Below are 27,027 nucleotides of genomic sequence, written 5' to 3' on the forward strand. Positions count from 1 at the left end.
TTAACTCCTGGTTTTACTCTTTCTACCCTTCTCACTACTGCACTTGACTAGTCTAAAAGAAAAAACAATTAAAAACACAAACACTGTAAACTTAGCACTTTTAGGTGGGTGGATCACTTGAGGCCAGGAGTTCAAGACCAGCCTAGCCAACATGGTGAAACCCCATCTCTACTAAAAATATAAAAATTAGCTGGGTGTGGTGGCGTGCGCCTGTAGTCCAGCTACTCAGGAGGCTAAGGCACAAGACTCGCTTGAACCTGGGGAGCAGAGGATGCAGTGAGCCGAGATCACATCACTGAACTCCAGCCTGGGCGACAGAGTGAGACCCTGTCTCCAAAAAAATAAATAAATAAAAATAAAAACACAAACACATAAGTAAGGTAATTGCAGTTTGTGGTAGGTGCTATAATGTAAATAAACAGCTCCTGGAGAGAGGACTGCTTTAGATCTAGGGATCAGGAAACTTCTCTCATGCTGCTAACTGTTTGTGAAGTAAATGAGACAGTTCCTGTGACATCACAAAATGTCCCTAATTCCTCATTATGACCTCCCTTGGTGACATCAGTGCATTGAGTCAGTCTACAGGCTAGGTGCACACTGGACAGTCAGGGTGGTTGTGAGCTGATGGAGACTGTAAATGAACCAGAAACAGGTAGACAGATGGCCTGAATAACACAACCGTCATACTCTTGGAAGAACTTGATATTCCTTTTCAGGGTAGCATTTTGGGTTTAGAGTCAGGAGTTTGTTTTAGAGTCATTAGTTTTACCTTTTTTTGTTGTTGTTGTTCTGTGTTTTCTTAACATTGTCTTCTATGAAGCTCTCCTAGATTTCCTCATTTTCTTCTTTCTAACACAATGTATATACACTATTTAGAGTAGCTCATGGCTACCTTCCCATCAAAGAAGGCATCTCAGAGACTTCCCAGGCACTCAAAATCATACAAGAAGGGGTGGATGTAACACAAGTTCAATTTCAAACTGTGAAAGACTTCCACAAAGCTGAAGGAGCCAGCAGGCTCACTCAGTAGTATTTCCCCAGGAGATGATTTAAACTTACTTTAATAGAAGTATATTTATTTTATTGTGTATTAGTAAAAATAGTACAAGATATAGTTAAGAATATGGAATCTAGGGCCAGACCGACTCACAGATCTACCACTTAATTAGCTGTGTGAAGTTGGCCAGTATATTTAACCTCTGTGTCCCTCAGTTTCCTCACCTATAAATGGGAATAAAAATAGTACATACCGCCTTGATGTTGAGAGATTTAAATGAGTTAAAATATGTAGTGTTTTGAATATAAGTTTGTTATGATAATTATGTTACTTTTATTAATATATCAGTTTAATGAATAGTAATAGGATCTGGCAAAATTTAATTTGCGAACTTTTCGATCTCTTTTGATTAAATTAGGTATATTCTCTTTTAGGTGAAGTGAGCAAAGATGCAGTCATTGTAAAGCAGGAGAAAAATAATGAATATTGCCTTCAGGATATTGATGATAAATTGTCAGAATCAGCAGAGGATGATGGTGAAGATGATACCAATGATGAAGATGATGATGAAGATAGTAACCCTAAAAAGAATACTCAGGCCCCACTAGAGTTAATGGCAGAAGTAAGTTTTACTTGTGCATATAATTGAAGAAACTTTAAAATATTGAAATAACTAAAGACTGAAGATTTAAAATCACTACTGTGAGAACTAAAAAAGTAGATCTCATGGAGGCAGAACATAGAATGGTGGTTACCAGAAGCTGGACGGGAAGAAGGGAGATAAAGAGAAGTCCATTAAGGGGCACAAAAATACAGTTAGATGGAAGGAATAAATTCTAGTATTCAGTAGTACAGTAGGGAAGTTATAGTTAACAGTAGTTTATTGTATACTTTAGCCAGAAGAGAAAAATTGTAATATTCCCAGCACAAAGAAAAGATAAGTGTTTAAGATGATGGATAATCCAATTGCCTTGATTTGATCATTACACATTGTATACAAGTATCAAACATGTACCCCCAAAATGTATACAATATTATATATCAATAAAAAATAAACATTTTTAAAAATTAATAAAAAGATCCTTGTCCACACACAGATGCTTACCTGGCTACTCATCTCTCTTACTACTTTCACCAGGTTAGAGGTGAAAGAAGATTCTGGAAGGGACATGCAGTATTTTGGTAAAGCTGAGGCAGGAGTAAGAGAAGTTTTGGTATAAAACTCTTCAAGGACTGCTTTAAGGAAAGCTTTCTATACACTGGGCACCATGCTAGTTGCTGGGGATATAGAAATAAATAAGAGAGACATGTCTCTGCCCTTGATAACATGCATATATATAAATAATTACAATAAGATGAAATGTATGCTAGTAACAAAAGTTATTTATTAAGTTTTCTGGGAACAGGGAGGATTAAGGGACTAACTGAAAAAAGAAGCAGGAGGATCAAAGAATAAGAGGAGGATTTTTAGAGGAAGAGACACAAATAGAATCTTGGAAACCTGAAGGAAGAGGCAAGTATAGAATTCATCTGTTAAAACAAGAGAAGGCATTACTGGCATCAGAAAAGGCATATATGAAGGCATTGAAGCCTGAAACAACACACTCAAAAATTATACATAAGCATTTACTGATAATTCTATGGAGAACAAAACAATTTTACCTCGCTTGTTGTGATATCACAGTCTGCCTTTAATTATTATTATACAACCTCATGTATGTTGTATAATAGGACACTCATTTCCCTTTCCCATCCTTTGTATTATTTCCCATACATTTTACTTCTATCCATGCATATGTTGTAAGCCCTTCAATACATTATTTTTTTTAATGGTTAATTCTCTTTTCAAGAGATTTTAAAATCTCTTTTCAAATGTCCTTTATATTTACCCACATATGTGCAATTTCTGGATCATAGCTTTCTGTAGATCCCAATTTCTACCTGATATCACTTTTCCTTTACCCAAAAAACTTCCTTTAGTATTTCTTATAATGCAGTTCTACTGGCAATAAATTCTCTCAGCCTTGTTTTGTCTTAAAAGGTCTTAATTTCATTTTCATTTAAAACAAATTTTTAGCTAGAGAATTCTAGATTGCCAAGATTTTTTTTTTAGGGCTTTGAACGGTTGCTTCATTGTCTCATAGCTTGCATAGTTTCAGAAGAGATATCCGTTGTTCTTATCTTTATTCATCTGTATATAATATGTCTTATAAAAATTTTTTCTTCCATATTATTTTATTTCACAATTTAATTATGATGTGCCTAGGTGTGGTTTTCCTCATATTTCTTCTGCTCCTTAAGATTCTTGGATCTGTGAGTTTATAGTCTTCATCAAGTTTGGGAAATGTTCAGTTATTCTTCAAATATTTTTTCTGACCTCTGCTCTTCCTCTTTTCATCTAAGGTGCAATTGCTAAAACGCTGAACCACTCAGTATTGTCCCAGAGGTCACTGATATACCACTTAAATTTTTTTCAGTTTTTTTCATATTTTTTTAGATAATATCTATTGCTATCTCTTCAGGTTTATAATCTTTTCTTTGCAGTTATAATCTGCTGTTAATCCCATCCTGCATTATATTTTTTTGCATTTCAGATACTATAGTTATCATCTCTAGAAGTTCCATTAAGATTTTTTATACCTATTATTTCTGTCATCATCATGTTCATATTTACCTCTGTTTTTGAGCATATGGCATATAATAGCTGTTTTAACATGCCTGCCTGCTATTCTATCGTCTTTGTTAATTCTAGGTCAGTTTCTACTGATTGTTTTCTCCTGCTTATGGGTCTTATTTTCCTCCTCCTTTGCATGCCTATATTTTGTTTGTTTGTTTGTTTGTTTGTTTGTTTTAACAGATGGGGTCTTGCTTTGCCAGGCTGGAGTGCAGTGACTACTCACAGGCATGATCATGTTACACTACACCCTTAAACTCCTGGGCTCAAGCAATCCTGCCTCAGCCTCCTGAATAGCTGGGGACTACAGGTGCACACCACCACACCTGGTACCTGGCAATTATTTACTGAATCCCAAACATTGTAAATCTTATGTTTTGGGGTACAAACTTTTTTTGTTTTTCTGTAAATATTGTTGGACTTCGGTAAATATTTGTTCTGGTGCACAGCTAAGGTGCTTGGAAGCAGGTATCTCTTTGACCCTTGCTTTTAAGCTTTGTTAGGGAGCATCCGGGGCAGCCTTTATGTAGCATAAGGACAGTACTAAGGCAGTGCCCTTATGGGGATTCTCCCCAGTGTGCTGCATGTTAGGAGGACCTTCCACTCTGGCTGGTAAGAACATGAGCTGCTCTCAACCCTGTCTGATAGCCAGTGATTATTCCACCTGCTCATTCTAGTGATTCTTTCTCCAGATTCAGATAGTTTCTTCACACTCACATGCAGATCATTACCAGCCAAAGACTCAAAGAAACACCTCTGCAGATTGCTGGAGCCCTCTGTCTTTGTGAAACTCCCTCCTCTTTTGAAAATTATAGCCACCTTGGCTATAATCTCTGCAGTCCAAACTATGTTATTTCAACCCAGAGAAATCACTGGTTTCTGTTTAGATTTTTCTTCCTCATGCTGGCCCCTGGAAACAGCCTACAAGTGGTAAGCTAAGGCAATCATAGGACCCACTTTGTTTCCCTACTCTAAGAAATATCACTGTCCTGTGGTATCTGTTGTCCAGTTTCTGAAAACTGTTGTTTCATATATTTATGTCTAATTTTATGGTTGTTTAAGGAAGGACAGTAAGTCTGCTCTCTATTACTCCATCAGGGCCGAAAGCCTCAATTAGATTTTTAGCACAAAATAAAAAATGCTTATGTACTTCTCTTCTTAGATAATTTAATTGCTAGCCATGGAATAATATAAAGAAATCAGTCATATTATATTTACTATATTTCCTTCCTAGAATAAAGCATATATAGGAAATTTTGAAACCTCCTTAATATTATAAGGTGCTTTTAAGAAAGAAGAAAAATTAATGCCAAATATTAGAAAGACTTCACTTAGTCTTCTTTTGACTAGACACCTAAATCATTCATGAATTGTAGAGCATTCAATGACCCTATCTACCATAACTAGACTCTCTGGAGTTGTTTTGTTTTTTTCTTTTTCAACATTTAATTATAAAAGTTATCCATTAATTCATTTTCATGTAAAAATTCAGATAATATGAGATTGCTTACTTTCATATCTTGTTTTGTACTGTGCATAAGATTTTTTGTTTTCACAATGCGTCCCTTTTTAGTTGTCCCAATTTTTAATTTTTATTTTATTTTCGAGACGGAGTCTTGCTCTGTCACCCAGGCTGAGTTCAGTGGCGTGATCTCGGCTCACTGCAGCCTCTGCCTCTCGGGTTCAAGCGATTCTCCTGCCTCAGTCTCCCGAGTACCTGGGACTACAGGTGCACGCCACCACACCCAGCTAATTTTGTGTGTGTGTGTTTTTAGTAGAGACGGGGTTTCACCATGTTGGCCAGGATGGTCTCAATCTCCTGACCTTGTGATTCACCTCCCTTGGCCTCCCAAAGTGCTGGGATTACAGGTGTGAGCAACCACACCTGGCCAATTTTGTAAATTTTAAAACCTATAGAAAAATGGAAAGAGTAGAACAATGAACACCTGAATACTCTTTACCTAGATTCACTACTCATTAACATTGTGCCTCATTTGCTTTATCTTTCTCTTTTGATAGGAGAGGCATAGATATAGCCTAGCCATATTCTTCTTCTTCTTTCTTTCTTTCTTTCTTTATTTTTTTTAATTTTTTGAGACAGAGTATTGCTCTGTCACCCAGGCTGGAGTACAGTGGCACAATCTCACCTCACTGCAGCCTCTGCCTCTGAGTTGAAGTGATTCTCGTGCCTCAGCCTCCTGAGTAGCTGAGATTACAGGTATGCACCACCATGCCTGGCTAATTTTTTTTTTTTTTTTAAGTAGAGATCGGGTTTCACCATGTTGGCCAGGCTGGTCTCGAACTCCTGGCCTCAGGTGATCCGCCCACCTCGGCCTCCCAAAGTGTTGGGATTACAGGCATGAGCCACTGTGCCCATCCTAGATATATACTTCTGACTGAAATACTTGAAATTGGTTGTAGACATCATGAAACTTCACCCGTAAATACTCAAGCATGGGTCTCCAAAGTTCATTCTTCAGTGTAACACTATATCCTTATCACAACTAAGAAAATTAGTAATAATTCTGTAATATATAATATTCCACCAAATTTAGATTTCTGAATTTATCTTTAAAATGGCTTTTGTAGCTTCTAGCTGGATTTTTTTCCAGTCAGATATCATCAGTGTTTATGCTTTTTGTTTAGTTGTTAAGCATCTCTTTATTTCGAATATCACAAATAATTTTTTAAACCTGTCTTCAGCTTAATTTTGGAGTGTTAGATAATTCTCATCAAGGGCTTCTGCAAAACATCCATTGCAAGAATTTCTTAATTTTACTGCCTTTTGAACTATTAAAGGAAATATATTTTATGCTAACAAAAACAACACATAGGTCAATACAAGGGAAATTGATTCCATACTTCTTTTCTTTTTCTGAGGCTAGTATTAATATAATGCTTCATTAAATAGACTACATATTAGATAATATTAAGAAATTCCTAAATGTTTAGGTATGATAGTAATATTTTGATTGGGTTTTATAGTAATGTAAAATGAGATGATATCTGTAAAGTGCTTTAAAATAATCCAGACAGAGGTGGGGAAAGAGTGTGTGGTGATACTGGTGGAACCCAAATTTTGAAGCTGAGAATTGGGAAATTGGATTTCTTTTACTATTCTCTCTACTTTTGTGTATATTTAAATTTTTCACAATAGATTTTAAAAATATAAAAATAGCTGTATATTTTACTGATCACATTCCCTGTCCATGCTCAATTAAACTAGGCATTAACAACAAAAATAACAATAACAAATTAAAACCACTTAAAACTAAAAAATATTTTTCTAAATGGCATGAATGTAAAAGAAAAATAAAAAATAAACTTCAGCTGGGCGTGGTGGCTCACGCCTGTAATCCCAGCACTTTGGGAGGCTAGGCAGGAGAATCACTTGACGTCAGGAATTCAAGACCGGCCTGGCCAACATGATGAAATCTCATCTCTACTAAAAATACAAACAGCCAGGCATGGTGCCTCACGCCTGTAATCCCAGCACTTTGGGAGGCCAAGGCAGGCGGATCACCTGAGGTCAGGAGTTCAAGACCAGCCTGAACAACATGGTGAAACCCTGTCTCTACTAAAACTACAAAAATTAGCCAGGCATGGTGGCAGGCGCCTATAATCCCAGCTATTCAGGAGGCTGAGGCAGGAGAATCTCTTGAACCTGGGAGGCGGAGATTGCAGTGAGCCGAGATGGCGCCACTGCACTCCAGCCTGGGGGATAGAGCAAGACTCTGCCTCCAAAAAATAAAAATAAAAATACAAACAATTAGCCAGGTGTGGTGGTGCATGCCTGTAATCCCAGCTTCTCAGGAGGCTGAGGCAGGAGAATCACTTGAACCCAGGAGGCAGAGGTTGCAGTGAGCCGAGATTGCACCACTGCACTCCAGCCTGGGCAACAGACCAAGACTCCTTCTCAAAAAAAAAAAAAAAAACTTAAAAACTATTTGGAAAATAGTAATCACAACAACACTAATTATTAAAATTTTGAAATAAGCTTAAAATTTCAAAGCTTTGATGATAATGATGATGATTCAAGAAAGAATGACAATAAATGAACTAAATATTAATGCCAGAAACTAGAAAAATAAAATAAACATAAAACAAGAAAAATAATTAAACTTTAATTCAAACTAAAAACCAAATTAATGTATCAAGAGTTGGATATTTGAAAAAAGGATGACATAGATATAAACCACTAAATATCATAATTAAAATGGAAGAAAACCACAAATAGGAAAGAAAATGAAAATGTCTTAACCTAGACAAGAATAGATTTTAAAAATATAAGAATTCTATTGCATGAGTTGAACATACCATGTTTAAGACCATACCATGTTTAACCTAGACAAGAATAGATTTTGAAAATATAAGAATTCTATTGCATGAGTTGAACCTACCATGTTTAGGTTTAACATACCATGGGCAGGGGGTTAAGATAATGTCAAAATTTTACCCTCATGATGATGGGTTAGTAACTTTATACCTTTAATTTCAGAGAAGTGTCAGGTAGTACAGCAGTCAAACCTTAACTGAGCATGCATTTATCCATATTAATTAGTATGTGAGGCCGAGGCGGGCGGATCACGAGGTCAGGAGATCGGGACCATCCTGGCTAACATGGTGAAACCCCGTCTCTACTAAAAAAAAAAAAATTAGCCGGGCGTGGTGGCAGGCGCCTGTAGTCCCAGCTACTACAGAGGCTGAGGCAGGAGAATGGCGTGAACCCGGGAGGCAGAGCTTGCAGTGAGCCGAGATCGCGCCACTGCGCTCCAGCCTGGGCGACAGAGCGAGACTCCGTCTCAAAAATAAATAAATAAATAAAATAAAATAAAAATAAAATAAAATAAATAATTAGTATGTGAATGAGAATTTTGATGAAATTAATGACTTATAGAAAAATCTCCGGAAGAGTTATATTTACATTAGAAATAAAATTTTTTTTAACCCATGGGAGAAATTGAGAAAACTGGTAGAGAACTACTTCTGAAAACAGTGTCTGGGTATTTATCAAATATCTGGAAGTATATGAGAAGGGTCTCTTTCATATTACTATATGCCTCTGTCTCTTACAGAATAAAACTCATATACCTGCATGTGGTTCAGAATGTGTCACACACAAGCAAGAACAATCATCAAAGTATAGGGGATTTTTTTGTGCATTTTTTTAATGGAAGCAGTCTAAATAGCTATAATAGAAGATTAGTTTAGTAAATTGTAGCCTAAGTAAGTAAAAAATACGTAAGAATATTTCATGCCATGAGGAGAAAATGATCACAATCCATGGTTTATTTTTTTTAAGTTACTAAATAATCTTAAATGTTGTAAATGCATATGTGTTAATTTATGGAAAATAATACTTGAAAGAATATACATGAAGATGTTAAAAATAAATGTGTTTATTTTTCATAGATGGTAGAAATTAAGTGCTTCTTAATTGGGGACAGAATGTGTGTATTTAGCTTTTAAATTTCCTACATAAAAAAAGATGTATTATTTTGTAACAAGAAAAGTATAATAAAAATAATAAAAACAAAACTGGATGATATAAGAGCAATGCTGGAAAATATCAAATGTACATTTTGTAAATCTGCATTTTTTTCAACTGTCGTATAATTATGGACTAAGTTACAAATGAAACCTGTATCTGAACCAAAGGAATATTAAAATAAAGTGATTAATGTCTTCACTATCTGTGCCAGTTGAATCAACCTACATATTCTCAAATTGTTCAGTAGTACATACACAGTATGGCTGCAGGAAAGCAGAGGTATCATCCTTACCCCATGTGGCTTTGCCATCAGAGGTACTTCAATTTCCTTGATTAATTGATTCACTATTCATTATAGACTGACTCCTGGAAAAACATGTGGAAGTGTTAAAAGCAAAATAACTAATGATTAATGGAAGATTTTCTAGGGAGTTTAGAGTTGACAACATTTAAATTCACTTATCTGAAGAATTTAATGTTTTCCAGTTTCTGAGAGCAGAAATGGCCCGAGAGTACCAGCTGGCAAAAAAATTATGTCAGATGAGTAAGTACAAAATACTTTCATATTTTCTAATCTTCTCTTTGTTTTCAAAAATGAATTCCGTAATATATAAAATGGCTTGATTATCATAGGTCTAGTGAATTCCCTGATAGTGTCTCAGTGATTCCTTGATAATAAATTAGGTTGATTGGTATAAGTACTAATTTAGATCTCTAGAGTACATTTTAGTGGAATAAATTAATGTAAACTAGCATCGGCTAATTACCATCACTGGAAAATAAGTCAAAAATTTTACCCTCATGATGATGGGTTAGTAACTTTATACCTTTAGTTTCAAAGAAGTGTCAGGTGACACAGCAGTCAAACCTTAACTGAGCATGCATTTATCCCACAAACATTGAGTGCCTACACATGCCAGCCACTGTTCCAGGCACTGGAAATACAATAGTCAGTCAGACAGATGACAATCCCACATTTGTGTCTAGTGTTAGAAAGACAATAAACAGATAGTGTGTCATGAATGATAGGTGCCATGGTGAGAAATAAAGTAGGGAAGAAGGAATAGAAGGTACTGGAGGAAGGCAAAGCAGTTTTAAATAGGATGGCCCAGGAAGGCCTCACTGAAAGACTTGAGGAATAGCCACATGAATATCTGGAGGCAGAGTGTGCCAGGGAGGATGAATGGCAAATGTGCTATGACAGGAGTGTGCCTGAAAGGAATAGTGAGGAGGACAGTGTAACTGGAGCAGAATGAGCATGGAGAAGTGTGATAGGAAATGAAGTCAGAGGCGTCATAGGCAAGGGGTTGTCAGATTGCATAGGCTCTGTTCTTTCCCTGAGGTGGGAAAACCACTGGAGGCTTTTGAGTAGAGCAATGATATGATCTACCTTATTTTTCTTTTTATCTTTGGTTTTTAATGGTTTGACTTGATGTTCAAAATAGTTGTGGGTTTTTTGTTGCAGTTGTACTGTTCAGGGCATTTGCTGAGTTTCTTAACTCTGTGGGTTGATGTTTCTATCAGCTTTGAAAATTTTTTGGCCATTACCTTTTCAAATACCACTTCTAGTCTATCCTCTCTCTTCTCTTCCTGGGTCTCCAATTACACACAAATTAGACTTTTTTTTCATGATGTCCCATGTGTATCTTATACTCAGCTCTAGTGTGTTTTGTTTTCCTTCCTTTCTTTCTTTCTTTCCTTCCTTCCTTCCTTCTCTTTCCTTTCTTTCTTTTTTTTTTTTTTTTTTTTTGACAGGTTCTTGCTCTGTCACCGAGGCTAGAGTACAGTGGTGCAATCTCCGCTCACTGCAACCTCTGCCTCCTGAGTTCAAGTGATTCTTATGCTTCAGCCTCATAAGCAGCTGGGATTACAGGCTTGTGCCACCATGCCTGGCTAATTTTTGTATTTTTAGTAGAGATGGGGGTTTTACCATGTTGGCCAGGCTGGTCTCGAACTCTTGGCCTCAAGTGATTCTCCTGCCTCAGCCTCCCAAAGTGCTGGGATTACAGGGTGAGCCATAGCACCTGGCTCTCTTTCTTTTATTTCTATGTGTCAGTTTTAATATTTTCTATCTACCTGTTTTTGGTTTCTTTATTCTATCTTCTGCTGTATCCAATATGCTGTTAAAACTATTTAGTGAGTCCAAGGTTGTCTTTTCCAATTTTAGAATTTCCATTTAATGATCTGGAAAGATTCTGGTTCTTTGTTGAACTCTATCATCTTTTCAACTATTTTATGCATCTTTTTCTTCTAACATATTAGTGATAATACGTTAAAAAAGAGAAAATAGCAACTCTACAATTAAACTTGTTGACAACAAGACTCAAAATATTAAGCAGTGTTAAACTTAAATTCATTCTTACAGTAAAGTCCTTAAGTGAAAATGTAGCACAAGGATTGAGTGACGGTCTGCCCTGGCTTGCCTCACAAGAGTCCCAACTGTGGATAGAGTACTTCTAGATCATTGGCTCATTTTACAAATTGGTTTCTTGAATACTTCAACACTTCCTATCTTGTATCTGAGGTAAATAATCCTTTCAAGCACTTTTGACCTTTAGAGCCATTGAATAAAATATTTTAGTCAAACTTATTTTTGGTGACCCACAAATATAGAATTTTTTTTGAGACAGGGTCTTGCTTTGTCACCCAGGCTGGAGTGCAGTGGCACAATGTCAGCCACTGCAGTCTCAATCTCCCAGCTCAGGCAATCCTCCCACCTCAGCCTCCCTAGTAGCTGGGACTACAGGTGTGTACCACCACACCCACTAATTTTTGTATTTTTTGTAGAGATGAGTTTTGCCATATTCTCCAGGCTGGTCTTGAACTGCTAGGCTCAAGTGATCTGTCTGCCATGGCCTCCCAAAGCAATGGGATTACAGATGAGAGTCACTGCATCCAGCCAGAATTTCAAATTAGAAGGAATCCTGATAGAATCATGTTCAATTCTCTATTTTTATAAAAACACTGAAGTATTATTATTACTATTTTTGAGGCACGGTCTCACTCTGTCACCCAGGCTGGAGTGCAGTGGTGTGATCACAGCTCACTTCAGCCTTGAACTCCCATGCTCAAGGGATCCTACCACCTCGGCCTCTCAAGTAGCTGGGACTGTGGACACGTAAAACCATGCCCAGGTAATTTTTGTATTTTTTGTAGAGGCGGGGTTTCACCACATTGCCCAGGTTGGTCTCAAACTCCTGGGCTCAAGGATCCTTCCACCTCAGCCTCCCGAAGTGTTGGGATTACAGGCATCAGCCACTGCACCTGTCCAAAAGTGGTTTTTAAATGGAACTGAAAGTCAAGAGTCCAAAGTACTTTACGTTTCTCCATTCATCTCATGAGTGACTATGAGATTTGGTGCCAATCAATCTTCCTATTTTTTGGTCACTTCACCTGTAAGTCAAAAGCCTGCAGCTCAGTCTCTTTAGGGTACCACACTTCTGCTCCCAGGCAGCCTGAGATTCTCTACATAATACATGGAGGTCCGGAAGATTTATTTAATAAATCATCAGTTGTAAATGTTAAAGAATAATGGCTCAAAAACCAAAATACTTCATGCCATTATATGTCTAATGCAAATACAGATATACTGTATCTTCCAAAAATATAGTTCCTACAAAATCTTCTATTTATTTTTGAATAAAATAACTCACTCTTTCCTATTAGCCTACAGTATACTTTTAAAGAAACTAGTATCTAAAGAAGCAAGCTGGAGAAACCCTCTTCTGGAAAGAAGCTTAGCCTCAGAGATTTAGACTATTAATGATAAGCATATTTTAGTCCAAGGTAAAATGTGCAAAAAATTACTTTGCTCAGAAACCTTATGGGTATGTATAATGATACATAAAATACTTACAGGATCCTTAAAAGCAGCTTCTAAGCAGGCACGCAGTCATGCTAACCCAGATTGATGACAAATTGTTAGTTATGTTAGTAGATTAGGAAATAAAGTCCCTTTTTTGTGTATCAAGATGAAAGCCATGGGTGGGATCCTATGAGCCAATGGGGTCTAATTGAACAATCCACAATGGTTATCTCTCTCTCTCTCTTTGTTTTTTTTTTTGTTTTTTTTTTTTTGAGACAGCGTCTCCCTCAGTCACTTAGGCTGGGATGCAGTGGCACGATTTCAACCCACTGCAACCTCCATCTCCTAGGTTCATGTCATCCTCCTGCCTCGGCCTCCGAAGGAGCTGGGACTACAAGCACGTGTTACCACGCCCAGCTAATTTTTGTATTTTTTTGTAGAGACAGGGTTTCAGCAGGTTGCGAAGGCTGGTCTTGAACTCCTGAGCTCAAATGATCCACCTGCCTCAGCCTCCCAAAGTGCTGGGATTACAAGTGTGAGCCACCATGCCCAGCCTCACAATTGTGTCTTACTTTTAGCCAGATGAAGAGCACACTTGATGTTTCAGTGCCCCCCTTGGAGGCCACCAAGATATTGAGCAGGAGTCACAATATTAAACGGATGATGCAAAATTATGAATACTCCTCAAGGCTGGTAGGAAGAAGTAGAGAGAGATCTGTGGAGCGAGATCTAAAAAAGTGAATAAAATAGTCTAGACAACTCTGAAACTAAGGGTATAAATCTTTCTGGCCTCTAGGATTTTGCTAACATACTAACAAGCCTAAAAAAGTCTATTGTTGTGGTCCAAAAGAAAGGTGACACAGTGACATAAAGGATCAGCAGAAAGGAATAAATAGTACTGAAAACAATGGGTCCAATGAAGGTGGAGAATGTTGTTAAGCAGGCAATGACCAACGTGTAGACTACAGTAAAAGTTGTCAAGATGAAGAGAAAGAAGTAACATCAGTTCCCCTATTGGAAAGATGTAACAAAATGGCATCTCTAGCATGGAAGAGGTTGCATTAAAAACAAACAAACAAAAACTTCCTCTGTGTTCCGATGAGACCTTTAGTAAAGGATGTCATGTAGATGGGTGGATGACATGAGATGAAGGATTAACAGACCTCTAGGCACACAGTCTTCTCATTAGCAAAGTCTCCATATTTTGCAGAATTTGTACCTTCTTTGGGAAATGATTATGTTCATGAAACACTCTGGCTACTGTCCTATGAGGGAAGCTATATTGAGGTGATAGAGATTGCTTTCTATGGATAGGAGGTAGAAAATATAATGAGGGCTGGGTGCAGTGTCTCATGCCTGTAATCCCAGCACTTTGGGAGGCCGAGGTGGGTGGATCACCTGAGGTCAGGAGTTTGAGACTAGCCTGGGCAACATGGTGAAACCCTGTCTCTACCAAAAATACAAAACTTAGCCAGGCGTGGTGGCACACACCTGTAGCTACTCAGGAAACTGAGGCACGAGAATCACTTGAACCCGGGAGGCAGAGGCTGCAGTGAGCCAAGATCATGCCACTGCACTCCAGTCTGGGTAACAGAGCGACACCCTGTCTCAGGGAAAAAAAAAAAAAAAAAAAGAAAGAAAGAAAATATAGTGAGGATCATTTATCTTCCAAAGTGCAAAATAGAAGTGCAGAATTTTCTCTATTTGTACTCAGATATACCTGTGGTATAATTGTTAGTGTTTATTGCATTGTGCCTTTCACCTGCTCTGACTGACAGTTCAATTTCATTCTAAGGAGCCTGTTTGCTGCAACACTGAACGTTAATAACACACATTCTGTTGTCCATTTTCATTTTCAGTCCTAATCTATGAACCAGAAAATCCTGAGGCCAAGGAGTTTTTCACACTTATTGAAGAAATGTTGCTGATGGGTAATTTTAAAAATTGAAATTCCTTGTTTCTCATAGAACTATAAGCAGTCACTTTAAAAACCCATTATCCCGGGAGATTGTCGATACATCTTTAGGAAGTGGTTAAGAAAAGGCTAAATGGCTGTCTTAAATGGTTTAGTGAAACAGCTTGTCCTCTGTGGATGGTCACAATGACCCCCTTCTCTCTGTGGGATAGAACTGCCCGAGCAGAGCAGGCTCCCTGGGCACCAGGCATCAGGTATTGACAAGCAGAATATGCTAACACGGCTGCGTGTTAAAGGAATTACCCACAATTCCAAGGGAAGCCACACCCTCTCAATTACCTTGTCTCAATTCCTTTCAATGGACAATTTTACTATTGTCAATAAAATTCTATGATAGAAAGAATTCTATGAAATCGTTAAATAGAATTTCATTGACAATAGTAAAATTATTTTTATAGACTTATGTTTTAAATTATCAAAAACACCTGTATGCCAGTAAAAATACATTTCTTCTTTGTACTACCATTTGACCCTAGTGCAGTTAGCCAAGTCCAACTCAGTTCTTATGTTACAAATATATGTATTTCTTGGTAGAGGGAGGGGCAAGGAGAATTATTTTTCAGAGTGAAATATTAAGAAACACCTTAAGCAATCCTCTTCCTTTCTGTGGCAGAGAAAACTCAGAATCATGAGCAAGACGGTGAAAACAGTGATGAAGACAGCAGTGGTGAGAGTAAAGGAGAAAGCGATGAGGAGCTGAGTGACGAGAGCTCTGACGAAGGTGAAGATGGATCATGAGTGTTGCTGCAATACTTGAAGCTTCATGTATTTTCATTAATGTATACCATGCAAATATAAAGACAAGTGACATTTTAGTCTAATTCTTCCTTATTTGGTACAGTTTCTTTTAAGTTATCTATATTCTTGGCTTAAGACTCTTCCTAATATTTAGGCCTTAGCTCAATATATGAGTTACTCAGAGAGGAAAATAGTTGAAAACACTTACATAGGACTGTGTGCCAGGTACTGTTCAAACTGCTCTACACACATTGTATAATTCAACAACCCCATTAAGTACTATTATTATGCCATTCTACAGATGAGAAAACTGAGGCACAGACAGGGTGAATAATTTGTCCAGTATCATACACCTATTTGTTTGTAGAGCCTGGATTTGTGCATGGACATTATTGCCCCAGAATTCATATGTTTAGTTCCCTATAAATTACCACCATTTCAGGCACTTTTATATCATTCATCATTTGTTTGTTTGTCTAGATAATGGGATCTTGCCACATCAACCAGGCTGGTCTCAAACTCCTGGCCTCAAGTGATCCCCCCATCTTGGCCTCCCAAAGTTCTGGGATTACAGGCGTGAGCCACTGTGCCCAGCCCATTCATTGTATGTTCTTTACAGCATGTATCAGTGTCTGAAATGCTTGTTTAATTGTTCATTTCATCTTCTCCCTACCTGCCAGAGAATGTAACACCCATGAAGCAGAACTTTATCATTTTCCTCATAATATCCCAGCAACTGGACAAGTACCTGGCAAATAATAGAACACATATACCAAATTAATGAACAAATGAAGTGAAAGTTAGTGGAAATATTTATATTCTTTCATAAAACATTTACAAGACTTATACTTCTTACGTACCCATCTATTTTATTGTGCTGATTCTGTAGTTCTTGCTGGATTTCTGCCACTTTCAAATTAGGTTGTAAGGTAACTGTCTTAGTCTGTTTTTTGTTACTATAAGAAAATACCTGAGGCTCGGTAATTTATAAAGAAAAGAGGTTTATTTAGCTTACGGTTCTGCAGGCTGGGAAGTTGAAGATTGGGCAGTTGAATCTGGTGAGGGACTCATGCTGTTTCCACTCATGGCAGAAAGTAGAAGGGGAACAGGCATGTGCAAAGAGATCACACAGCAAGAGAGGAAGCAAGAGAAACCAAGGAAGCCAGACTCTTTTAAAAACCCACTCTCATGGGAACTAATCCATTCCTATGAGAGCAAGACCTCACTCACCCCCGGCCCCCAAATTAATCTACTCATGAGGGATTCAACTCACCCGCCTGACCCAAACACCTCCCACCTCCCAACTCCACGACATACTGGGGATCAAATTTCAGCATGAATTTTGTTTTGTTTTGTTTTTATGTTGTTGTTGAGACAGGGTCTTGCTCCATCACCCAGGCTGGAGTGTAGTGGTGTGATCATGGCTCACTGCAACTTTGAACTCCTGGGCTCAAGTGATCCTTCTGCCTCAGACTCCTGAGTAGCTAGGAATACAGTCACGTGCCACCACATCTAGCTAATATTTTTTAAAACAATTTTTGTAGAGACAGGATCTTGCTGTGTTGCCCACAGTGGTCTCAAATTTCTGGCCCCAAGTGATTCTTCCACCTCAGCTTCCCCAAATCCTGAGATTATAGGTGTGAGCCACTGCACCCAGCCCAGCATGAGTTTTGAAGGGGGCAAACCACATATAGACCAAAGCAGTAACTGAGGTAAAAGAAAAATATTCCTAAGTAATTTGTTTACAAATGTGCCAATCCGATTTGAGGGGAAGCATTTTGAATTTTTATCTTATGTCAGTACAGTGTCACAACATATCCAAAATGTTTGCGGCATTGCTTATTCTTTAGGCATTGTGGCCTGTTAACATTCAGAGGAAGAAAATCTGCAGCACCAATTCATAGGGATGACCAAAAGAAATGAAGATGGATATGTGTAATCCTCTAGTTACCCTTTCTAAATCTGCAGTAAACTCTCAGGGCTTCATGCATAAATAACCAAATAGCATCAGAGGTTTGACTGACAGATCTCAGGAATTACCTGTTCTTTTCATTTTCTTTTGGGTTTAATATTCATTCCACCATGGGAAAACCACCATATCTCAATCTAATGATGCTTACCTGATTAAGGAGAACCCTCCATAAGAAGTTCATAGTATACCCTAAAGCTGACATTGAAGACTAAATAAGTTACAATGAGATTTTAGTTGTCTTTTAAAGGAACAGGGAAGCTTTGAGGAAGAAACTGTCCGAATAAAAAGCCATGATATCACAGGCTATGTTATAGCTAAATCTAAGAATTTATGAGGCTTGTTCATTCAGGATCATCAGTACCCCCTGTCCATACTCTTCATCCTACTAGCCCTCACTAATGAATGAAATGGTAAGGTGTTGGCATGACCTGACAATAGGCACGTGTGTATAATAGGTATGTAGTAATAATAGCTTAAAAAATCTGCAAATTATTGTTTACATTATTTAACCTACTTGCTTCTCACAGTCATCTGAAGAGCATGCTATTATCCCCATCAATTACACAAACTGAATTTGACATAATTGAGGAATCTAAGGTTAAATATTGGCTGGGATGTTGGAATTCAGATGAGGAAACTGAAACTTAGAGATGCTTGGTTATGTCCCAGTATGAGAGATTTTGTGAACCTTAAACCCAATGTTCTTTGTTACCTCACACAGAGCTAGCATCTAGGAACTATTTAATAAGTCTGCCAATGAGTTATATCTGTGTAGACAGTTCAGTTCCAGACCTGTGCCTTCTTCAATAACTTTACAACACATTGTAATGATGTTAATGAACCCAAATATCCAACAATATGAGAATATGTAAGAATGCCTACTCAATAGACTTCAGAGGGGAACCCACTGAAAAAGTTTCATGTATTCAATAAGGTTTGTTTGTTTGTTTTTGTTTGTTTGTTTTGAGACGGAGTTTCACTCTTGTTGCCCAGGCTGGAGTGCAATGGTGCGATCTTGGCTCACTGCAACCTCCACCTCCCGAGTTCAAATGATTCTCCTGTCTCAGCCTCCCGAGTAGCTGGGACTACAGGTGCCCGCCACCACACCCGGCTAATTTTTGTATTTTTAGTAGAGACAGGGGTTTCGCCATGTTGACCAGGCTGGTCTCGAACTCCTGACTTCAGGTGATTTGCTCGTCTTGGCCTCCCAAAGTGCTGGGATTATAGGCATGAGCCACCACACCCGGCCTCAATAAGTATTTACTGAAGGCCTTCTAGGTATTCTGGAGGGAACAAAACCCAGTCTCTGCTCTTCAACAGCATTGTTGTTAAATACAGGGAGATAAACACTGCCATTGTGTGGGTCCTGGGCACTAAGGGAGAATGTGGGAGGGCAGGAGAGACAGTCTAGGCATCCAGGAAAAGCATTTAGAGAGAAGTGAAGTCTAAGCTAAGAAGGTAGAGGAAGTGGGAATTAGCTGTAAGAAAAGGGTGTCTAGAAGACAGTCTGAGCAGAGTAACACAACTTGCAAAGGCGCAGAGACACAATCTGATATCAGAAAGTTAAGCAGGTAAGGTTGGATTATAAAATGAACCATTTAGAGTGGAGAAAGACGAAGCTACAGTGATAAAAGAACTGGGTGATGGGGGGTCTTAGAAGCCATGTTAGAGTTTGAACTTTATCCTTAGAGTAATGGAGGCATTGAATGCTTTTAAGGAAAATAATTGTATTTTAGAAAGAGCATTCTGGTAGGTAAAAAAGATGTCTTCTTAAACTACACATTACGATCCATTGGTCAGTTATGAAATCATTGCAGTAAATCACAAATACCTGGGGGTTTTACAAAGTTAAATACATAGAATAGAAACTATCAGCATATACTGCAAAAGAGTATGGCAAGCATTGTTTTATGAAACTTTTGTTTCAGGAGTGTGTATTCCCTAGACCTTGAAGTGAAATGTATTTCTTCCTGTGGATCTCGATGAAAAATAAAATTTGAAAGCTTAGAGAACAGACTAGAGTTGAATACAGACTCTAGCAGTTCAAAATTGTAACCTGAAAAGAGACAGTAGCAGGGAGATGTAATGGAATGGAGGGGTTACTCTAGAGGTAGAAAGAATTGGCAGGAATTGGGGATAAAGTAAATGTGGTAAAGAGGTAGAGGTCAAGAATGACTCTTAGTGGGAGGACAAGGTATATGGTGATGCCAGCCCCTAAAGACAGGAACACAGGAAAGCAGCTTTGTTGAAGAAGATGGAGGTTCACTTGCACAAGTTGACTATGGGAAATGTATTAGTTTCCTATTGCTGCTATAAAAAGTTACCACAAACTTCGTGGCTTAAAACAACACAACTTTATGATCTTATAGTTCTGGAGGTTCTAAGTCCAAAATGGGTCTCACTGGGCCAAAAGCAAGGTGTCAGCAAGGCTGCATTCCTTCTGGAGGCTCTAGGAGATAATCCATTTCCTTGCCTTTTCCAGCTTCCAGACCCCACGCATATTCCTTGGCCCCATCTTTCCACCTTCAAAGCCAGGAATGTCTGGCCAAGCCCTTGTCATGCTGCCATCTCTCTATTCTCTCTCCTGACTTTTTCTTCTGCTTTTAAAGATGCTTGTGATTACCTTGGGTCCATCTGGATAATCCAAGATAGTCTCCCTATCTTAAAGTCAGCTAATCAGCAAGGTTAACTCCGTCAGCAATCTCAATGCCCCATTGCTATGTAATCTAACATATTTGCAGTTTCTGGGTATTAAGATGTAGACATCTTGGGAGAAGAGGGGTGCATTATTCTGCCTAACTCAGGAAGTATTGGGTAAGTGTTAACTAGTTTTCATGGTATGAAGCTTAAAAAAGACACTTGGGCGGGAAATATACCTTTATTAGTAGTCATCACTTAGAGATAGTAGTCAAATAAACAGAATGAAGGACCCATGGAGAGAGTGTAGTCCAAATAGGAGAGGACCAGGGATAGAATTATAATGATCACCAACATTTAAGTGGTAGTCCATGAAAGAGAAGTGCACATAATAGACTGAGAAGGAACAACCAAGAGGAAAATTGGGAAAGCAAATATAGTGGGCACTGTTGGTTTCCTACTCAGCAACTATCCTTTTCCCTTTCTTTGCAAAGAGCAAAGACAGTCCCGACTCTGTTCAGATATTCGCTCCCCACATCCATAGCCACGAGACTCAGCCAACCAGTCCCTGGCATTTCTCTGGTGACTGTTATTGTTCCAGAGATGGACATGTGACCTACTTCTTCTAAAAAGATCGAGGACTTTATTTCATGATTGGGAGGAGATGTTCCTCCATTCTTCTGGTTAAGAACCAGGAAGCATGCTGCCCTAGTTTCTGCTGGCAGTCATCTCATGATCACGAGAGAAGCTAATCTTAGGAAGAAGCTGATGCTGTGGATGGAAGAACAAAAAGAACCTAGGTCCCTGCTAATGCTCAGCCGCTGAGTCGACGGGCCTGGGAGCCACCACTCTGAGTTTATGTTATGAGATAAACTTTCTTATTGTTCAAGCCAGTTGGATCAAGGTTTCTTTTACCTGCTGCCAAAAGCCTCCTAACTGATATTGAGCAGCACCACAGAAACCCAGAAAAAGAGTTTCAAGGAGCCTGTAAAAACCTGCTTTGCAAAAAGTTGCAGAGAAGACAAGTAAGATAAGAACTAAAAGGGTAATGGGATAGCAACAAAGAGGTGGTTGGTGATATTAGGAAAAGCTGTGTCAGTTGAGTGTGAATTGGGGGTGCCGTATTTCAGTGAATTTGAGTGCATTGGAGGTGAGGAAAAGGAAAACGAGGAAAGAAAACAGATGAAGTATCATTGGAAGACATAAGGTAAGTGCAGTATTATTTGTAAAACATTTAAGATGAGCATGTTTACCGGCCTGGCCAACATGGCAAAAAACATCTCTATAAAACATATAAAAATTAGCTGAGAGTGGTGACACACGCCTGTAGTCTTAGCTACCTGGGAAGCTGAGGCAGGAGGACCGCCTGAGCCTGGGAGTTTGAGGCCGCCAGTGAGCCAGGATCTGATTGCGCCACTGCACTCCAGCCTGGGAGACTGTCACAAAAAAAAAAAAAAAAAATAGATGAGCCTGAGCCTGTTTAATAGGATGGATGATAATAACAGCTACTGATAGCCTGTTATGTGTTAGGCACTATACTAAGCATTCATATGTTAATGTTTTTAATCCTCATAACACCTGTATGGGATAGACATTATTATTCCCAATTTACATACGAAGAAAGCGAGGTGTAGAGATGCTGAAAGTAACTTTCTAAAGATCACATACTTGGGAACTGGCAGATTCAAGTCCAGGTCATTTTATTCTAATACCCTGCCCTTCACGCTATGGCTTCCTCCCTAAGAGGCCAGTAGAGAGGAACAGATTGGAAAAAGGGATAACTTACAAGGCATTTATCTAATATTTTAGAAGATCCATGTAAGAGAACCCTAATACATGGCAGTGTTTAGGTGAACCACTGCCCCGGCAGTCCAAGTGTGGAATCAGAGCTGTCTCCTCTTCTCCAGTATTGGTCCTTTCATAGCCTTCAATTACCCTATATTATATACTAAAAAAGGTGATAACCTGCCTTTATTTATTTATTGAGACAGGGTCTCACTCTGTTGCCTAGGCTGGTGTGCAGTGGCATAAACATGGCTCACTGCAGCCTCAAACTCCTGGGCTCAAGTGATCTTCCCACCTCAGCCTCCCAAGCAGCTGGGACTACAGGCGCATACCACCATCCCTGGCTAATTTTTTAATATTTTGTAGAGACTGGGTCTTGCTATGGTCCCAGGCTGGTCTATAATTCCTGGCCTCGAGGGATTCCTCCCACCTCAGCCTCCCAAAGTGTTAGGATTATAGGTGTGAGTCACCATGCCCAGCCTGCATTTACTTTAATTACAATGTTTATTTCCCTTTAGCTTGATCCTGGTGGACATGTAAGATAGATGTAATTTTGGTATTTGCCTGAAATATTGATGTTGGTCAAGGGGGAGCACGTGAACAGAGCTCATGGTACCAGATGTGAAGTCAAGCCTAGGGCCATTGGAAACGCTGTGGGGTTTGGGGCAAAAGTCCTATGCCATGAGGTCTTGAGAGTTCATAAGAGGCAGGTAAGATAAGGCCTCCAAGGCCAGACTAAGGAGTACAACGGTCTTTCTGACTGTCTCTCCTAATAAGCCCCCCAGTCCTCATAAGATATGAGTTATAATGGAGCAGGGGGAGCGTACAGAGCTTGGAGGAGCCTGGGAAGTAAAGCACTGGGAGAAGAGATTGGCTTGCATAGCCTGTTCAAAATGTACCCTTCTGAACAAAGAGACAACTTATGACACATATCGTGGTTGGTTCCCCCTATGTCCATTCCACCCCAGATGATAAATCTAATCATGGTAATCCTATCCCCTTTGCTACTAGTTATTGCTAGGCATGGGCAGAACTACACCAATTTCAGCTGATAAAACATCAGCAGGAGTTGGATATTAACAAGAAGGAATGGAGCCCTCATGGCTGCTGGCAGCCATCTTAGAACCAGGAGTAGGCCTTATGCTGAAGCCAAAGCTAAGGACAGCAGAGCAGAGCGAAAAAGGAACCCGGTCCTTGAAGACATTTTCTTACTATGTAAGACAGTACATTTTCTTGCTATTTAAACCATTTTGCTTCAGATTTTCTATCACTAGTAGCTGAGAGTATATCCAATGTATCTGCCACAGCGCAATAAGCATGATAATGCCAATAACATCTCCTAAGAGTGTGTAAGTCAAACTGGATGCTTAGGTTACCCTCAGTTCCCCAAGGGTTCATGGCCACTCAAAGCCAAGGAAGAGGAATTGGTGGGTCCTTCTGTCAGTCAGGAAAAGCAGAAACATGAAACTTGTTACGATGGTTATCTCTGGGTTGTGCAATTGAGGGGAGGTAAGTAAGAAAAGTTGTACTTTTCATTTTACACCTTTTATTTATTCCCTTAAAATTTTAAAATCATGGGCATGTATCACTTTTATAACTAAAAGCTTTTTTATTGTAAACCATACACAGCATGCAATTTATCATTTTAAGCATTTTCAAGTGTATACTTCAGTGGTATTACGCACATTTACATTGCTGTGTAACCATCACCAGCACCCATCTCAGAAACTGCTTCATCTTCCCAACTGAAACTCTGTCCTCATTAAACAATAACTCCTCATTTCCCACTCCCACTAGCCACCATTCTACTTTTTGCTTTGATGAATTTGACTACTCTAGGTACTGCGTATAAAAGGAATCATATATGTCATTTTGTGACTGGCTTATTTCACTTAGCATAAAGTCTTCAAGGTTCATGCATGTCATAGCATATGTCAATACTTTATTCCTTTTACTGCTAAATAATATTCCACTGTATGCATATGCCACCTTTTGTTCATCTATTCATCCACTGATGGACATTTGGGTGGCTTTCACCTTTTGGTTATGGTGCATAATGCTGCTATGAACACAGGTGTACAAATATCTGTTGGAGGCTAAAACCTTTTAAATTAAGCCTATACATGGGGTAGGGGAAAATATGGGATTGGGGGGGGTTACTGAAAATGCTAACCATCGTAGTGTTTGTGTAATGAGGTTATTTCCTTTTTCATCATTCTAAAGTCATAAGCTTTCTTTAGCAATCATATATAACGTTAAAAGAAAAAAGATGTACATTTTTTCAAAAGAAAAAAACTTCAAAAGAGAATTAAGGTAAAATTGACCTTAGAATCAGAAAAGTGAACATGAGGAAGGAAATCAACATTCATGGAGTGCCAACTATGTGAGGTGTTTTAGCAGGCCTTAGTATCCTTTCTGGTGTGATGGAAGCTTTTAATGAGGATAAATACTAATAAATAAGCCAATAAATAGTTCATTAAGTACAGGAAAAAAAAAAGTCACCTGAGATAGAAATTTGCTGATTTTCATAAAATATTAACCAGTTAGTACATTTACAAATTGCTTACCCTGATGCCTAATTGGATATTTAAGCAGGGTTAATTGCAATCCATCACAAATAGCCCCCAAAGTCCCTGTTTTCTTAGGATTTATTATGTAGTTCCTGTTGCTGCACAACAACATATATTTTAATACTGAATTTTCATAAACTCCTCTCCCCGCTTTTTAATACTTCAGCTATTTTGTAACAAGGCTTTTGGTGTCCCATGCTCTCAGGTCCCTAATGTATCTTCATCTCTAATAAAGTTCTAAAATGTTCTTCTGTAAAAGGACTTGCTTGAAAGTGACTATTCTTTAAGATGATAGATTTCACAGTTCCATGCCTACCACTGGATAATATGTTAAGAGGAAAATCTCTTTCCCATCAAAACATGCATCAAATTCAGTTTCTTCCAATTGGCATCAGAAGAACCCAAATAAAGTTGGGAGCAGAGTGTTGTTTTTTTTTTTTTTTTTTTTTTTGAGATGGAGTCTTGCTGTGTTGCCCAGGGTGAAGTGCAATGGAGTCATCTCAGCTCACTGCAACCTCCGCCTCCCAGGTTCAAGCGAGTCTCCTGCCTCAGCCTCCCAAGTAGCTGGGATTACAAGTGCGTGCCACCATGCCTGGCTAATTTTTGCATTTTTAGTAGAGGTGGGGTTTCACCATTCGGTCAGACTGGTCTCAAACACCTGACCTCAGATGATCCGCTCATCTCATCCTCCCAAAGTGCTGGGATTACAGGTGTGAGCCACGGCACCCAGTGGGGGGACAGAGTATTTAAATCAGCAGACAACATCCTCATCGAAAGCCACCTTCTCTTAGCTCACAACTGCCAATGAAAGAAAATAAGAGAAAAAATATTAAAAATCATATGTCACTAAACAAAATTAAGGGAATACTTCAAGAAACTTATCTCAAATGAAAACTTGCTAAATTGATCTTTTTTTGAAAACCTGTTAAAGCAGACTGGGCACAGTAGCTCACACCTGTAATCCCAGCACCTTGGGAAGCCAAGGTGGGAGGATCACTTGAGCCCAGGAGTTGAAGACCAGCCTGGGCAACATAATGAGACCCTGTCTCCATGAAATATAAAAAAACAAAACCAAAAAATTAGCCAGGTGTAACGATGGGAGACTATAGTCCCAGCTACTCAGGGGTGGGGCTGAGGTGGGAGGATCATGTGAGCCGGGAATGTCGAGGCTGCAGTAAGGCCTGATTGCCTCACTGCACTCTAGCCTGAGTGATAGAGTGAGACCCTTGGCCTCCCAAAGTGCTGGGATTCTAGGCATGAGCCACACTGCCCAGCCTGCAATTTTAAATATAACGATAAAAGAAAACCTCACTGGGAAAAGAACACTTGAATATTTGAGTAAAGACAGAATGAGAAGGAACAAACCCTACAAATGCCTGGAGGAAGAGCTTTCCAAGCACAGGGTTAGTAATTACAAAGTCCCTGGCCCATTCTACTTCATGTTTATGAAACAGCAAGGAGGCCATTGTCCCTAGGGTGGAGTGAGGATGGGGCAGAGCAGTATAAGAAGAACTCAAACAGGTAACAAGGTCAGACCGTGTAGGGCTTTGTCAGTATTATAAAGACTTTGTCTTTTCCTCTGAGATGCGGAATCATTAGAGGGTTTTGAGTAGAGGAAAGCCATGATATGAGTATGACCTAGTATTTTACATTGTGTGTGTTAGGGAAGGAAACAAGGGATAGTAAGAGCAGAAATAGAGAGTGAAGTTGTTAAAGTTTGAAAGTAGCTCCACCAGAATTTACTGACAGATTGTAAGGAAGAAGTCAGTGATAACTCCAAGGTTTTGGACCAGACCAACTGGAAGGTGGAATTGCCTCTAGTTATTTACAGAGATGGAGAAAACTGTAATAGCAGCAGGTTTGGAAAAAAGTATCAGGAGTTCAATTTGGGACACCTTAAGTTTCAGATGCCTATTAGAAATCCAAGTGGATGGCCAGGTGTGGTGGCTCATGCTTGTAATCCCAGCACTTTGGGCAGCCAAGGCAGGTGGATCACCTGAGGTCAGGGGTTCGAGACCAGACTGGCCAACATAGCAAAACCCTGTCTCTACTAAAAACACAAAAATTAGCCGGGCGTGGTAGCACATGCCTGTAATCCCAGCTACGAGAGAGGCTGAGGAAGGAGAATTGCTTGAACCCAGGGGGCAGAGGTTGCAGTGAGCCGAGATCACGCCACTGCACTCCAACTGGGCGACAGAGCGAGACTCCACCTCAAAAGAAAAAAAAGAAAAAAGAAAAAAAAAAATCCAAGTGGAAAATTCAACTGGACATATCAACCTGGAATGCTGAACAGAGGTTCAGGGTAAAGATATAAATTTGGGAGTCAATAACATCTAAATTTTTTTATTTTAATTGAAATAAAAATTAAGATATTTAAAACTGC

The 27,027-nt window shown here is 39.0% G+C and overlaps 1 protein-coding gene across 11 annotated transcripts in view; it reads left to right on the plus strand.

Annotated features, from left to right (window-relative positions):
- The window catches only part of ERICH2 (glutamate rich 2), a 28,600-nt gene extending 12,837 nt beyond the window's left edge, over positions 1-15,763 (plus strand). For 10 of the 11 annotated variants that reach the window (NM_001388469.1, NM_001290030.2, NM_001388471.1 and 7 more), the window contains 4 exons: positions 1,432-1,619; positions 9,649-9,706; positions 14,827-14,898; positions 15,556-15,763. In NM_001388469.1, the coding sequence (NP_001375398.1) occupies positions 1,432-1,619; positions 9,649-9,706; positions 14,827-14,898; positions 15,556-15,680 (443 nt within the window). In that variant the 3' untranslated portion in view covers positions 15,681-15,763. Of the gene's footprint in view, positions 1-576; positions 653-1,431; positions 1,620-9,648; positions 9,707-14,826; positions 14,899-15,555 lie in introns of those variants that run through there. The other variant, NM_001289947.2, reaches the window with a different exon arrangement.

Source organism: Homo sapiens, chromosome 2, assembly GCF_000001405.40.
Source record: "Homo sapiens chromosome 2, GRCh38.p14 Primary Assembly".
NCBI lineage: Eukaryota > Metazoa > Chordata > Mammalia > Primates > Hominidae > Homo > Homo sapiens.